The following is a 13,244-nucleotide window of genomic DNA, read 5'->3' on the forward strand; positions in this document are numbered from 1 at the left end:
TGTGCAGGTGTTCGGAGTACATGCCTGTATGTACTGTGTGGATGTGTGTACACGCATGTGTACACGTGTGTGCAGTGAGGGCCTGTGCATGCAGTATGAGTACATGTATGCAGTGAGTGCACATGCCTGCATGTACCGTGCAGATGTGTGTACATGCAGTGTGTGTGCACGTGAGTGCGTGTGTGCAGTGAGCGTGTGCAGTGAGTACGTGTGTATACTTTCGTGCACGTATGTGTGTGCATGCTGTACATGTGGTCTGTGTGCACGTGCAGTGTGTGTGTGTGTGTGAGAACCTGGGTGAGGACAGCTCCTGCAGACGGCTGCGGGGACTTCCCCACCAGGTGACGCAGCCTCGCCGGGTTTTGGCATCTTGTCCTTAGCAGCCCGGGTGTGTTGGGTGTCTCGGGGCGGGGGGACGAGCCTGATCCTCCTCATCCACTGACATCAGCTTAGGGACCCCAGGGGGTTCACGTGACAGGAAAGCAGTCAGGGCTCCAGAAGAAAGCGGGGGGCCTCTGTGGCCGTGGGTGGCACGCGAGGTTTGGGGGGCCTCTGACACCGGCCTCCTCGACGGCCCCTTGTCTCCTGGGCTTTCCTAGGGGTCTCTGGTCTGAAAATGTTGGCCCATCGTAGGAAGGTAAAATGTAGAAGCAGCCATGATGTCTGTATTTGGTTCATCTTCATTTTTCACATTTTAAAAAGTTCTCATTTAATCAGGGAGAACAGGCTCCCCAGGGCGCCCTATGCCTCTCTTTTTACATCCTCAGAGGAAGCCGTGGCCCCGCCTTAGCACCGGGAAAGGTGGAAACCCAGTTTTTCCCAAAAGCACAAGACAGCATTTCTGGAAATGTTGCAAAGGAGCTGAAGTGTCAGGGACACGTCACCGCATGAGGAGGCGGCCAAGGTGCCGGTGGGCATAAGGGAGAGGAGCGCGGACGCGGGAGGCCCCAGCATGCAGGAGTGAGGATGATGCCCCCAATGGGGAAGCTCGTGGCCCTCCTGCCAACCCCCCAGCCCCACCCCGTGACCTTGGACCTTAGACCCCCTGGGGAGCTGGGATCTTGCCGAGAGTCTCAACCCCATCACGGCAGGCCTGGGACCATCGCGGCTCCCACACCCACACATGACCCTAGTTGGGGTCTTGAGACTCCGGGGGCCCTGAGTACCCGTAGGGGCCGAGACGCAAGCCTCGGACGGCGGCCTGCTTTCCAACTTAACGCTGCGGCACGCGGCAGGCAGGTGGCCGAGACCTCTGTGTCCTCACAGTTCTAAGGAGGGAACTGTCTGCCCGGATCTAAGGAAGGAATTCTACATGCAGTTTCACCCCGATTTGCCTCACCCCTGCCACGGCTCCAACGCAGCCACGCGGCACCCCCAGACCCGGGCCCACGTGGCCGCTCCTCACAGTGACACGGGAGAGGGAGGCGGACCCCGCAGCACTGGGCGCGTCCTCACTGGGTGCTGCGATTCCCTGGCCGTGCCTCTGCCACCCTCCACGGCAGCTGCGCCCCCCAGGCCTGTGGTCCCCGCCGGACCCCACTCATGAGACTCCCGTCGGGTTAAAGGGAGCACAGGGTTTCAGAAGGACCCGGCGCGTGGTCATTTTACCTCTGGGAACTAGGGAAGGACGTTCGGCCTTCACCCTGGCGCTCCCTGGCGCCCTTGGGAAATGCCCCTTCGTGGACGCCGAATCCCCGCCACCCTCGGGATGTGCTGTTGCCCCGTGTCCCACCAGACCCTGGGTCTCAAGGCAGAGCCTGACCACAGCCTCTGGGGTCGGCCCCACCAACCCCGGCCCCGACCTCGGGCGCCTCCCGTGTTCCTGGCCTCTCAGGCGTCCCGGGGCCGGGCGGGGCTGACTCACTCGAGGACGCAGTGCGTGGCCGCCTGTGGGTGGTGGCGATACAGCAGGAGACTCTGGTCCACGCGGATGACGCCGCCGCCCTTCCTGAGGTGCTCGTAGAAGAACAGCAGGTCCTCCGGGACGCCCTGCAGGGCGGGAGAAGCAGAGGCATCACTGGGGCCCCAGAAACGCGTGCCTGCCCCGGATGCACACTACACCTGCGCTCAGCCGGCCAACCAGGAACCGGTGGAAAAGGCTTTTGTTGCAAAGAAACCGGTCTAGAGGCTCAACAGGGACGTGGGGCGGCGACCACAACAGACGTGAGCAACCGAGCTTCTCCACAGGCGGGAAAGAGGGGAAGGGAGGGTGGGCTGGGTCTTGGTTCTGCCCCAAATTCCATTTTGAGCAGTAAAGGTCTCAGGGCAAAGAGGAAGACAGGCAGCCGAGGAAAGGGGCTGGGGTGGGTCAGGGTCTCACAGCCACGGCTCCTGGATGGCTGGTCCGGCCTCCGTCCCCATCCTTTCCTGCCAGTGGCTGCAGCCCCAGAAGCTCAAGGGACTCAAAGTGCCGACTGTGGGCAGAGGACAGTGGTGCTGGGTGGGCGTGTGGGGCTGCGGGCAGGGGAGCCCAGCAGTGGGGAGGCAGCCCCGGGCCTGTGCCAGCCCTGCTCACTTGTCCAAGCTCAGAAACTTGAACCTCAGCCCACGGGGCTTATCCCCGAACACTCCCTCCATGTCAGTGGGACTCTGCTCCAGAACATTCTGCAGGCATTCCCACCAGACTTTTCTGTCCTGTGAGAACCTGGGCCCTGCTTTCCCCGGCCCATGATCCCAGTGGCCCCTGCCCTCTGCTTGCTCCTCTCCTGGGTGACCCCAATCCTCAGCCCAGGGCTCTGGGCCTTGTGTGGAGCCGGGCCCCTGTCGCTTTCTTAAATTCAAACAAAACTGAGGGAGGAGCAGGGCGTGGAGTCTGGTCTCCTCGTGGTTCTCTGCGGCAGCTCACCTGGGTCAGCCGCCCGGAGACACCTTTGCTCCAGGAAAGGGCAGGTTTTCTGAGAGCCTAGCAGCAGGGCCAGTCTATCACCAAGTCCAGCCTCTTCTCTCCTTGGCTGGTACACAAACTTCAAGTGCAGGTCAGTAAAGTCCCCAAACTATCACGGCCCAACCGCTGGCCTGTTTGCTCCCAGGACAGACAGGCAGTGCTATGGTTCCACGTCCAAAAAAAAGGCACTGTTTAACCTCCGCCTCTCCAGGGCGATCCCTTTTACAAAAACCACGATGACATGGAAAGATTTGTAAGAAGATGCTGAGTCAAAGAACAGACCTCAAAATCATGTGTCAGCCCTGCTAAAAGTTTATCCACCATAAGATAAAGACAAAGGAATCACAGAAGCCCACATGCTGTCTCACACGGGTGATTTAGGGTGGAGGGTCCCGCGGGTGCTGGTGGACACGGACCCTCACACGGGTGATTTAGGGTGGAGGCTCCCGCGGGTGCTGGTGGACACGGACCCTCACACGGGTGATTTAGGGTGGAGGTTCCTGTGGGTGCTGGTGGGCACGGACCCTCACACGGGTGATTTAGGGTGGAGGCTCCCGCGGGTGCTGGTGGACACGGACCCTCGCAGGGGTCACTGAGGTATTTTCTTTAATTTTCTGTGTCTTCAAAGGCAGCTCTAAAGAGCACTGGAACTCTCAACATGTTACAGGTTTAAGAAGAGAAAAAAGGTTTCTCTCTTCCTATCACCAGAAGAGCCCGACCCTTGGGGTTTTCTTATTTTCTGGCAGTAAAGTGAGAATTTAGTCAACAGCCGCTCCCGGGTGGTGCCTCTGCCCTGGGAGGAGGGGGACGCAGAGGATCTGTCCCATTTTTCTCCCCTCCCCTGATTGCTGCTGCTGAGACCTGAGAGGCCCGAAATGGCCTCACTCCTCCCCCAGGCTTTTCCCAATCAGCCTCCAGGTGCCTGGACTGCCCTGTGGTGTGGAGGACCCCTGGCGGGGCGCAGGGAGAGGGGGAGGGGTCACAACCCAGAAAGGCATCAGGGAAGAAGCCGAGTGGAGGAAGTGTGGCCGCCGCCCAGCCCCAATCTGCTCACAGAACCATCCTCGGGCAGCCTTGGGGGATGGAGCACCCAGAACTGCCTGGAGGAGAAAAGCGTGAGCTAAAGCCACTCCCAGGAAGGCCGGGCCAGAGGCTGTGGAGACTCGGATCCTGAGGCAAAAGGAAGCCGAGTCAGGGACGCGCTTCCTTCCCCAGGGCTCGTCCCCAGCGCCACCCGCCCTTCTCTAGAGCCCCATCCCCAGCGCGAACCTCCAGGAGGAAGCAGCAGTCACCACGCGGGGACAGAAGGGGGAGAGCTCGAGCCAGGGCCCAGCGATTGGAGTCCGCGGAACGCAGGGACATGAAGTCCAGCAGAGAAAACTAAAAACTGGCAACACTTCCATGGATAAAAATTCAGCCTCTCCCTCTACAATAGCAACAAACCCCAAACCAGGAAACAGAGACCCCTGTAAATAACCCACCAAGATAAATTCCACACCCTCCACCAGTGTTTCAGGCTACAGGGTGGGATATGCGGGGAGGTGGCGGAGACCCATCTTGAATCAGAAATTCAAGGACTAAGTGCAAAACTGGACCCTAATGGGGTGGGTCTAGAGCATTGAAGAAAGTGCATTAGTGCTTGGCTAGGGCTGGCAGGTGGCTGTTAGATGAGGTGCGCCCCTGGGTGCAGGAAGTGTTTTTTGGGGGATGACAACTTCCTAACATTAGATGGTAGTGGTGACTGGTGATTGTACAGCCCTATAAATTTGCTAAAAAAAAATTGAATTGCACATTTTAATAGGTGAATTGTATGGCATGTGAATTATACCTCAATAAAGCTTTTATATAAAATTGGATCGATTTAACTAAAAAAAGAAATTTTAAGAAGAGACAAAATTGGTTGGGTGTGGTGGCTCATGCCTTTAATCTCAGCACTTTGGAAGGCTGAGGTCGGGGGGGTGGATTGCTTGAGCCCAGGAGTTCGAGACCAGCCTGGGCAACATGTCGAAACCAGTCTCTACCAAAAATAGGAAAAAAGTAGCTGGGCATGGTTGTGTGCACCTGTAGTCTCAGCTACTCAGGAGGCTGAGGTACAAGGATTGCTTGAACCTGGGAGGCAGAGGTTGTAGTGAGTGAGCCACTGCACTCCAGCCTCAGGAACAGAGTGAGACCCTGTCTCAAAAAAAAAAAAAAAAAAAAGGAACAAAATATATGAAAAATGAAGACTAAATTACAAAATCCTTAAGAGAAAATGATTTTAATTAAAAATTTAATAAGGGACACTGAAGAAAGGAAAATAGAAATTATATAATGAAAGAAGTGAAAAGGGTTAGAAAGACTAAGAAAATCTAACCAACATAGAATTGGAGTTTTTAAAACACAAAAAACAATAGACATAGCTAGTATTTAAAACGGACGCCTACAGGTGCGTCCCACGGGGGATGGGGACACGGACGCCTGCAGGTGCACCCCCACGGGGGGACGGGGACACGGACGCCTGCAGGTGCACCCCACGGGGAGGACGGAGACATGGATGCCTGCAGGTGCACCCCCACGGGGAGGACGGGGACACGGACGCCTACAGGTGCACCCCCACGGGGGGGACGGGGACACAGACGCCTGCAGGTGCACCCCCACGGGGGGACGGGGACACGGACGCCTGCAGGTGCACCCCCACGGGGGGGACGGGGACACGGACGCCTGCAGGTGCACCCCCACGGGGGGATGGGGACACGGACGCCTGCAGGTGCACCCCACGGGGAGGACGGGGACACGGACGCCTGCAGGTGCACCCCCACGGGGGGGACGGTGACACGGACGCCTGCAGGTGCACCCCCACGGGAGGACGGGGACACGGACGCCTGCAGGTGCACCCCCACAGGAGAACGGGGACATGGATGCCTGAACGTGCACTCCCACAGGGAGGACGGGGACATGGACACCTGCAGGTGCACACCCACAGGGAGGACGGGGACATGGACGCCTGCAGGTGCACCCCCATGGGGAGGACGGGGACACGGATGCCTGCAGGTGCACCCCCATGGGGAGGACGGGGACACAGACACCTGCAGGTGCACTCCCACGGGGGGGATGGGGACACAGACGCCTGCAGGTGCACTCCCACGGGGGGGACGGGGACATGGACGCCTGCAGGTGCACCCCCATGGGGGGGACGGGGACACAGACGCCTGCAGGTGCACCCCCGGGGGGAGGATGGGCTCCCCTTCTCCCTCTGTTGTCCCAGAGACAGCTCTGCCAAAAGCTTCCGTGTCCTGCGCTTTCCCAGACACAGCTTTTAAACCAGGATGCAGTAACCTGGAGCCAGTGTAGGTCAGGTGCAGATGCCCAGGGCACCCACAGCCTTCATGCAGAAACCCCCTGCTTTCAGCAAAACAACTAAGATGCTGGCAGGTGCCAGGAGGGGGCACCGGGAGGACCCTCAGGCAGGGGTTTCCTAAATCTGCAGAGCCCCGGAGGCATGGCAAGGCGGAGGGTGGCCAGTGTGCAGAGCCCACACACAGAGACAGGGCCCCGAACCTGGGGGAGGGACCTGATTCCCGCCTTCGGCCCTTACCTGACCTCCCTCGTTAAAGGGGCCCACGTGGGAGAACCACGCTCGCGAGCAGAACCAGGTGGGCATGATCACCGTGGGGCCATTTGAGGTGAAAACCTAGAAGCAATTAACGTTGACAGAGTTAGCGGAAAAGAACAGCTTGTCACAAACAACCTGCAGTTTATTTCCACAAAGTGTCACGAGAAAGTGACAGATGAATCCGTGTCCCTTCTCCACAGGGTCAGGGCCTCAAGAGACTTCACCACGGGGCCGACGTGTCCCTTCTCCACAGGGACGGGGCTCAAGGGGCTTCATGACGTGGCTGACGTGTCCCTTCTCCAGTGCTGTGATCATCACTCACTGTAGCCTTGACCTCCTCAAGCAATCCTCCTATCTCAGCCTCCCAGGTAGCTGGGACCACAGGCGTGTGCCACCACACCTGGCTGATTTTTACTTTTTTTTTTTTTTTGTAGAGATGTTTGTCACTCTGTTGCTCAGGCTGACCTCAAACCCCTGGCCTCAAGCGATCCTCCCACCTGAACCTCCCAAGCAGCTAGGACTATAGGCGCACACCACCGTGCCTGGCTATTTTCTTACATTTCTTTTGTAGAGATGGGGTCTCACTACACTGCTCAGGCTGGTCTTAAACTCCCGGCCTCAAGCGATCCTCCCAGCTCAGCCTCCCAAAGTGCTGGGATTACAGGTGTGAGCCATCATGCCTGGCTCAACGGAGATTCTAAAATGTATATAGAAACACAAAGGACCTAGGAGAGCCAGCACAATTTTGAAAACCATGAACAAAGTTGAAGTTTCATGACTGTATTTCAAGATTTACTACAAAGCTATGGTGATCAAGGTTGATTGGTATCAGCTTATGGGCAGACAGACAAACGGAACAGAACAGAGACCAGAAGCAGAGCCGCCTGGCTGGGGTTTGATGTTTGCTGAAGACATCAGGGGCGTCAGTGGTGGAAATGAGAGATGGCGCTGGAACCACTGGTGTCCTTACAAACCATGGCCCTCAACCCTTGCCTCAGGCTCCAAACACAAAGCCCCAGCCTCAGACCGGACCTCAGTGAGCTGAACACAAAAGAGGCAACGAGCTCATCCAGGGAGAACATTCGTGATTATGGGGTAGGCAAAGGTTTCTCAGGTAAGAAGAGGCACAAATCACAGCAGAAGACATGGATAAACCAGATGCCACCAAAGTCAAATATTTGGTTCTTTGAAAGATCCTGCAAAGAAAACGAAAAGATAATCCAGGCTGGGACAAAACATTTGCAATAAGTGCGTTTCACTGAGGATGTACGTTCGGCGAACACTAAGTACCCTCAGCACCCATTAATAAGAAGACAGGCAATGAGTTAAAGATGGGAGAAGGGCTGAAAACACTTCCTCAGACGTAAATTAGTCAGGTCGTGAAAACGTGCTCTATGTGACTAGTCATCAGGGAAATGAGTTTTCGGTAGGGAAGTCCACCTAACGGCCTCATCTGAACTTTGCATCTGCAAAGACCTTGTTTCCAAACAACGCCCACATTCTGAGATTGGGGGTGAGGACACCAACATATCATTTTGGGGGGACACCATGGAGCCCACGACATTTTCACTTCTTGGGTGGCTGAAGTGATGTTTTCCTATAACTGACACTGAGATTACGCCAGCATCTGTACGTTCCTGGAGGTGCTGTGTGTGTGAACACGCAGGTCAGGCAGAGACACAATGGCTGAGAACCATCGTGTAACACAGCCTCGTCTCACTGTGGATCCCTTTGAAGCCTAAAGACTTTCTGCTTGTCGTCCATCCTGAGGAAGGTCGCTGGTTAAGACAAGTCCTCATCAGCACAGTGGCCCTCACCTGGGGCTGATTTGTCCCCAGGAACATTTGTTTGGAGACATTCGGGGCTGTCACACTGCGGGGGTGGGGGTGCTACGTGCATCTGGTTGCAGATTCCAGAGACAGAGAAATAAAATTCGAACTGCAATGAAATACCATTGCACCCTCTAGGACTGTTACAATTTTAAAAACTGAAAATAAGGCACAGTGACTCACACCTGTAATCCCAGCACTTTGGGAGTCCGAGGCGGGAGAATCGCTTGAGCCCAGGACTCTGAGACCAGCCTGGGCAACTCTACAAATAATAATAATAATAATAAAGTAGCTGGGCATGGTGATGCTCCCCTGTAGGCCCAGCTACTCAGGAGGCTGAGGTGGGAGGATCCTTTGAGCTCCGGAAGTCAAGGGTGCAGTGAGCTGTGATCGCACCACAGCACTCACTCCAGCCTGGGCGACAGAGGGAGACCCTGTCTCTTAAAATATAAAAAGTAAAAATAAAAATAAACACTGACAGTACCAAGTAAAAATCTTACATAACGCTGAAGGGAAGGAAAAACAGTATAAACACTTTGCAGAGCAGGCAGGCTCTTAGAGAGTTAAACACAGACTTCCACGCAGCCAGCCGTTCCAGTCCTAGACATTTACCCAAGAAAAATGCAAACACACGTCCATCCGGCACCATCCATGTGTGTTCACGGCAGCCCCAGCACCCGTCCCCGTGTGTTCACGGCAGTCCCAGCACCGTCCCCGTGTGTGTTCACGGCAGCTCCACGCACAGCAGCCCCAGACTGGAGGCCCCCAAATGTCCGTCAACAGTGAATGGATAAGCCCTGTGGTGCCCGTACCACGAGTCCAGTGGAGCCCTCACCAGCAACCAAGGGAACAAACTGCCGGTCAGGGCAGCACAGATGTCTGTCGGCAACAGGGAAGGGAGGCAGTCACCAGTGTGCACGGTGCACAGATGTCTGTCAGCAACAGGGAAGGGAGGCCAGTCACCAGTGTGCACGGTGCACAGATGTCTGTCAGCAACAGGGAAGGGAGGCCAGTCACCAGTGTGCACGGTGCACAGATGTCTGTCGGCAACAGGGAAGGGAGGCAGTCACCAGTGTGCACAGTGTGACCCCACTTACACAAAACCCTAAAAAGTGGGAACCTAACCTAACCTGCAGGGACAGACGTCGCATCTGTGGACGCCTAAGGCTGAGGGTGCCTGGGCCTGACTGCAAAGGCATAGCCTTAAAATTTGTCTTGTTGGCCGGGCGCGGTGGCTCACGTCTGTAATCCCAGCACTTTTGGAGGCTGAGGCGGGCGGATCACTTGAGGTCGGGAGTTCGAGACCAGCTTGACCAACATGGAGAAACCCCGTCTTTACTAAAAATACAAAATTAGCCAGGCATGGTGGCACATGCCTGTAATCCCAGCACTTTGGGAGGCTGAGGTGGGCGGATCACCTGAGGTCAGAAGTTTGAGACCAGCCTGGCCAATGTGGTGAAACCCCATCTCTACTGAAAATATAAAAATTAGCTGGGCGTGGTGGCAGGTGCCTGTAGTCCCAGCTACTCTGGAGGCTGAGGCAGGAGAATCGCTTGAACCCAGGAGGCGGAGGTTGCAGTGAGCCAAGATTGTCATTGCACTATAACCTGGGTAACAGAGCAAGACTCCATTTCAGGAAAAAAAAAAAAAAAGAAAAGAAAATTTATTTTGTTTTGTTTTGAGACAGAGTCTCGCTCTGTCGCCCAGGCTGGAGTGCAGTGGCGCGATCTCAGCTCACTGCAACCTCTGCCTCCCGCATTCAAGCGATTCTTGTGCCTCGGCCATCGGAGTAGCTGGGACTACAGGTGTGCACCACCACGCCTGGCTGATTTTTGTATTTTAGTAGGGACAGGGTTTCGCTACATTGCCCAGGGCTGATTTTTGTATTTTTAGTAGGGACAGGGTTTCGCTACGTTGCCCAGGCTGGTCTTGAACTCCTGGCCTCAGGTGATCCACCTGCCTCGGCCTCCCAAAGTGCTGGGATTACAGGCGTGAGCCACTGCCCCGGCCTAAGTAAAAATTTTAAAGCCCAGCGTGGTGGTGCACGCGCCAGTGGTCCCAGCAGAGAGGCTGAGGTGGGAATTCGAGCCTCGCCTGAGGCCAGGAGTTTGAGGCTACAGTATGCTGTGCTTACACCTGTCAACAGCCACTGCACACCAGCCTGGGCAACATAGCAAGACCCCATCTTTTAAATTTTTTTTTTATACAGAGTCTTGCTGTTACCCAGGCTGGAATGCAGTGGCGTGATCACAGCTCACTGCAGCCTCAACCTCCCCGGCTCAAGCGCTCCTCCTGCCTCAGCCTCCTGAGAAGATGGGACTACAGGTGTGGACCAGCACACCTTGCTAATTTTTGTATTTTTTGTTGAGATGGGGTTTCACCATATTGCCCAGGCTGGTCTTGAACTCCTGAGCTCAAGTGATCCACCCACCTTGGCCTCCCAAAGTTGTGGGACTCTGGGTGTGAGTCACCGTGCCTGGCCAAAAATTAAAAAAAAAAGTCTTTGCTACCACCAAGGAAACTCTCAGAACGAACATTTTAAAGTGAAATAACGCAGTTCTATGGGATAACTTCGAGCAACCTACGTTTCGCACATCAAAGCTTTGGTGCTTCTGCGTCGTGACAGGTGGGTGCCTGTCACACAGGGTGCCCCCTGGGACATCAGGAAGAGCCCCGAGGGGGTCCTGGAAGCCAGGCCAGCCAAGGCCACAGCACCTGGTGCCAGTTCCAGGCAGGGGGCTTGGCACATCCGTGAATACCCCACGGGCCCCGAGGCCCCCTGAGAGGCTGCAGTTTCCAGCAAATGTGAAACATCTGCCCGGACAAATACAGCCTTCCCTCAACCCTCAGAAAAACGGATTTCACGATTACAAAGCAACCATTTAGCTTCCTGTTCTCAACTTTTGCTTGCTGAAAAATCCAGAGGCATTTTCTGGCAGGTTGACTCTGCAGCCAGACACCTGGAGCTTCTGCCGTTTGCACGGTGGTGAGGACGACCTGAGAAAACAAACACAGGTCCTCCCCACCCAGCGTGGCCGCGACCTCCGCACCCGGCGTGGCCGCGACCTCCGCACCCGGCGTGGCCGCGACCTCCGCACCCGGCGTGGCCGCGACCTCCCCACCCGGCGTGGCCGCGACCTCCGCACCCGGTGTGGCCGCGACCTCCGCACCCAGCGTGGCCGTGATGCGAGGCCTCTGCACACGGTGGCTGTGCCCTGGTCACGTGGCCGAAGCCCTGGAGCTGTGGCAGGTCCTCCGTGGGCTGTGAGTGTGAAATACACATGACATTCTGGAGACTTGGTATAGGAAAAAGAATGTAAAATGTCACTGATAGGACATTTGGCTCATGCTTCTGGTTGGGGTATGTCCAAGACCGGGCAGCTGCCTTTGCGGGGGGCCTCAGGCTGCTTTAACCCGGGTGGAGAGCGGAAGGCAGTGGTGTACGCAGAGAGCATGTGGCAAGGGAGGACGCAGGAGAGAAACCGAGGCAGCCGGGTCCGTTCCACAGGTCGGCGTCGTGGGGCGCAGTGCGTTCCTGCGAGGGCTCACTCAGCGCTGTGGGAGGCATTCATCCGTGCACAAGGGGTCCCCTCGAGACCCCAGCACCTCCCACACAGCCACGCTGGGGGTCAAATTTCAACGTTTCACGGGGACAAACCACATCCAAACCACGGCAATTATATCCAGGCCGGTCTGTGCTCACGGGACGTTTCTATCGGACAGAATTACGCATCTGTCTGCAAAACAGCTCAATCCATTCTTTAGTGACAACGATCCAGAAACAAGAGCATAAGGACGCGCACAGACACCGTGAGGACGGAGCAGGGACACGGGCTCCGCCAGCTCCAGGGAGGGGCTCAGTCAGCACAGAGCACTAGGGGCTGCACCTGAACTGCCAGGCGCCCGGCGAGTCCTCCAAGCATGGGCAAGCGCTGGGGTGGGGGCAGCTCCGTGGCAGCGACTGGGGCCAGCCACGCGCCGTCTCCTCCCTGGGGCCTCCGAGTGGGAAACCAAGGCGAGGACCAGCAGAAAGAAAGGCTGGGAAGGAGGCGTGGGGGCTACTGTGCCAACCACACCACACTCATAGGGGCCAGAAGGACCCGGTACTGACCACACCACACCACAGGGGCCAGAAGGACCTGGTGCCGACCACACCACACCACAGGGGCCAGAAGGACCTGGTGCCCACCACACCACACCACAGGGGCCAGAAGGACCTGGTGCCGACCACACCACACCACAGGGGCCAGAAGGACCTGGTGCCGACCACACCACACCACAGGGGCCAGAAGGACCTGGTGCCCACCACACCACACCACAGGGGCCAGAAGGACCTGGTGCCGACCACACCACACCACAGGGGCCAGAAGGACCTGGTGCCGACCACACCACACCACAGGGGCCAGAAGGACCTGGTGCCGACCACACCACACCACAGGGGCCAGAAGGACCTGGTGCCGACCACACCACACCACAGGGGCCAGAAGGACCTGGTGCCGACCACACCACACCACAGGGGCTAGAAGGACCTGGTGCCGACCACACCACACCACAGGGGCTAGAAGGACCTGGTGCCGACACACCACACCATGGGCCAGAAGGACCTGGTGCCGACCACACCACACCACAGGGGATAGAAGGACCTGGTACTGACCACACCACACCACGGGCCAGAAGGACCTGGTGCCGACACACCACACCATGGGCCAGAAGGACCTGGTGCCGACCACACCACACTCATAGGGGCCAGAAGGACCCGGTACTGACCACACCACACCACAGGGGCCAGAAGGACCTGGTACTGACCACACCACACCACAGGGGCCAGAAGGACCTGGTACTGACCACACCACACCACAGGGGATAGAAGGACCCAGTACTGACCACACCACACCACAGGGGCTAGAAGGACCTGGTGCCGACCACAGCACACCACAGG

General features: G+C 57.0%; 1 protein-coding gene across 17 annotated transcripts in view; it reads right to left on the reverse strand.

Moving 5' to 3' along the window:
* QTGAL (queuosine-tRNA galactosyltransferase) overlaps positions 1–13,244 on the reverse strand; it is a 109,622-nt gene that overhangs the window by 17,044 nt on the left and 79,334 nt on the right. For 13 of the 17 annotated variants that reach the window (XR_002957964.2, XR_002957963.2, XR_007065266.1 and 10 more), the window contains 2 exons: positions 6,459–6,554; positions 1,865–1,989 (listed from right to left, as the gene is read on the reverse strand). Coding sequence is in view for 8 of the 17 variants with exons in the window: in NM_001009905.3 (NP_001009905.2) it covers positions 1,865–1,989; positions 6,459–6,554 (221 nt within the window). In the remaining 9 variants the exon portion in view is untranslated. Of the gene's footprint in view, positions 1–1,166; positions 1,295–1,864; positions 1,990–6,458; positions 6,555–13,244 lie in introns of all 17 variants that reach the window. The other 4 variants (XR_007065267.1, XM_047435396.1, XM_047435395.1 and 1 more) reach the window with 2 other exon arrangements.

Source organism: Homo sapiens, chromosome 17, assembly GCF_000001405.40.
Source record: "Homo sapiens chromosome 17, GRCh38.p14 Primary Assembly".
NCBI classification, from domain to species: Eukaryota; Metazoa; Chordata; class Mammalia; order Primates; family Hominidae; genus Homo; species Homo sapiens.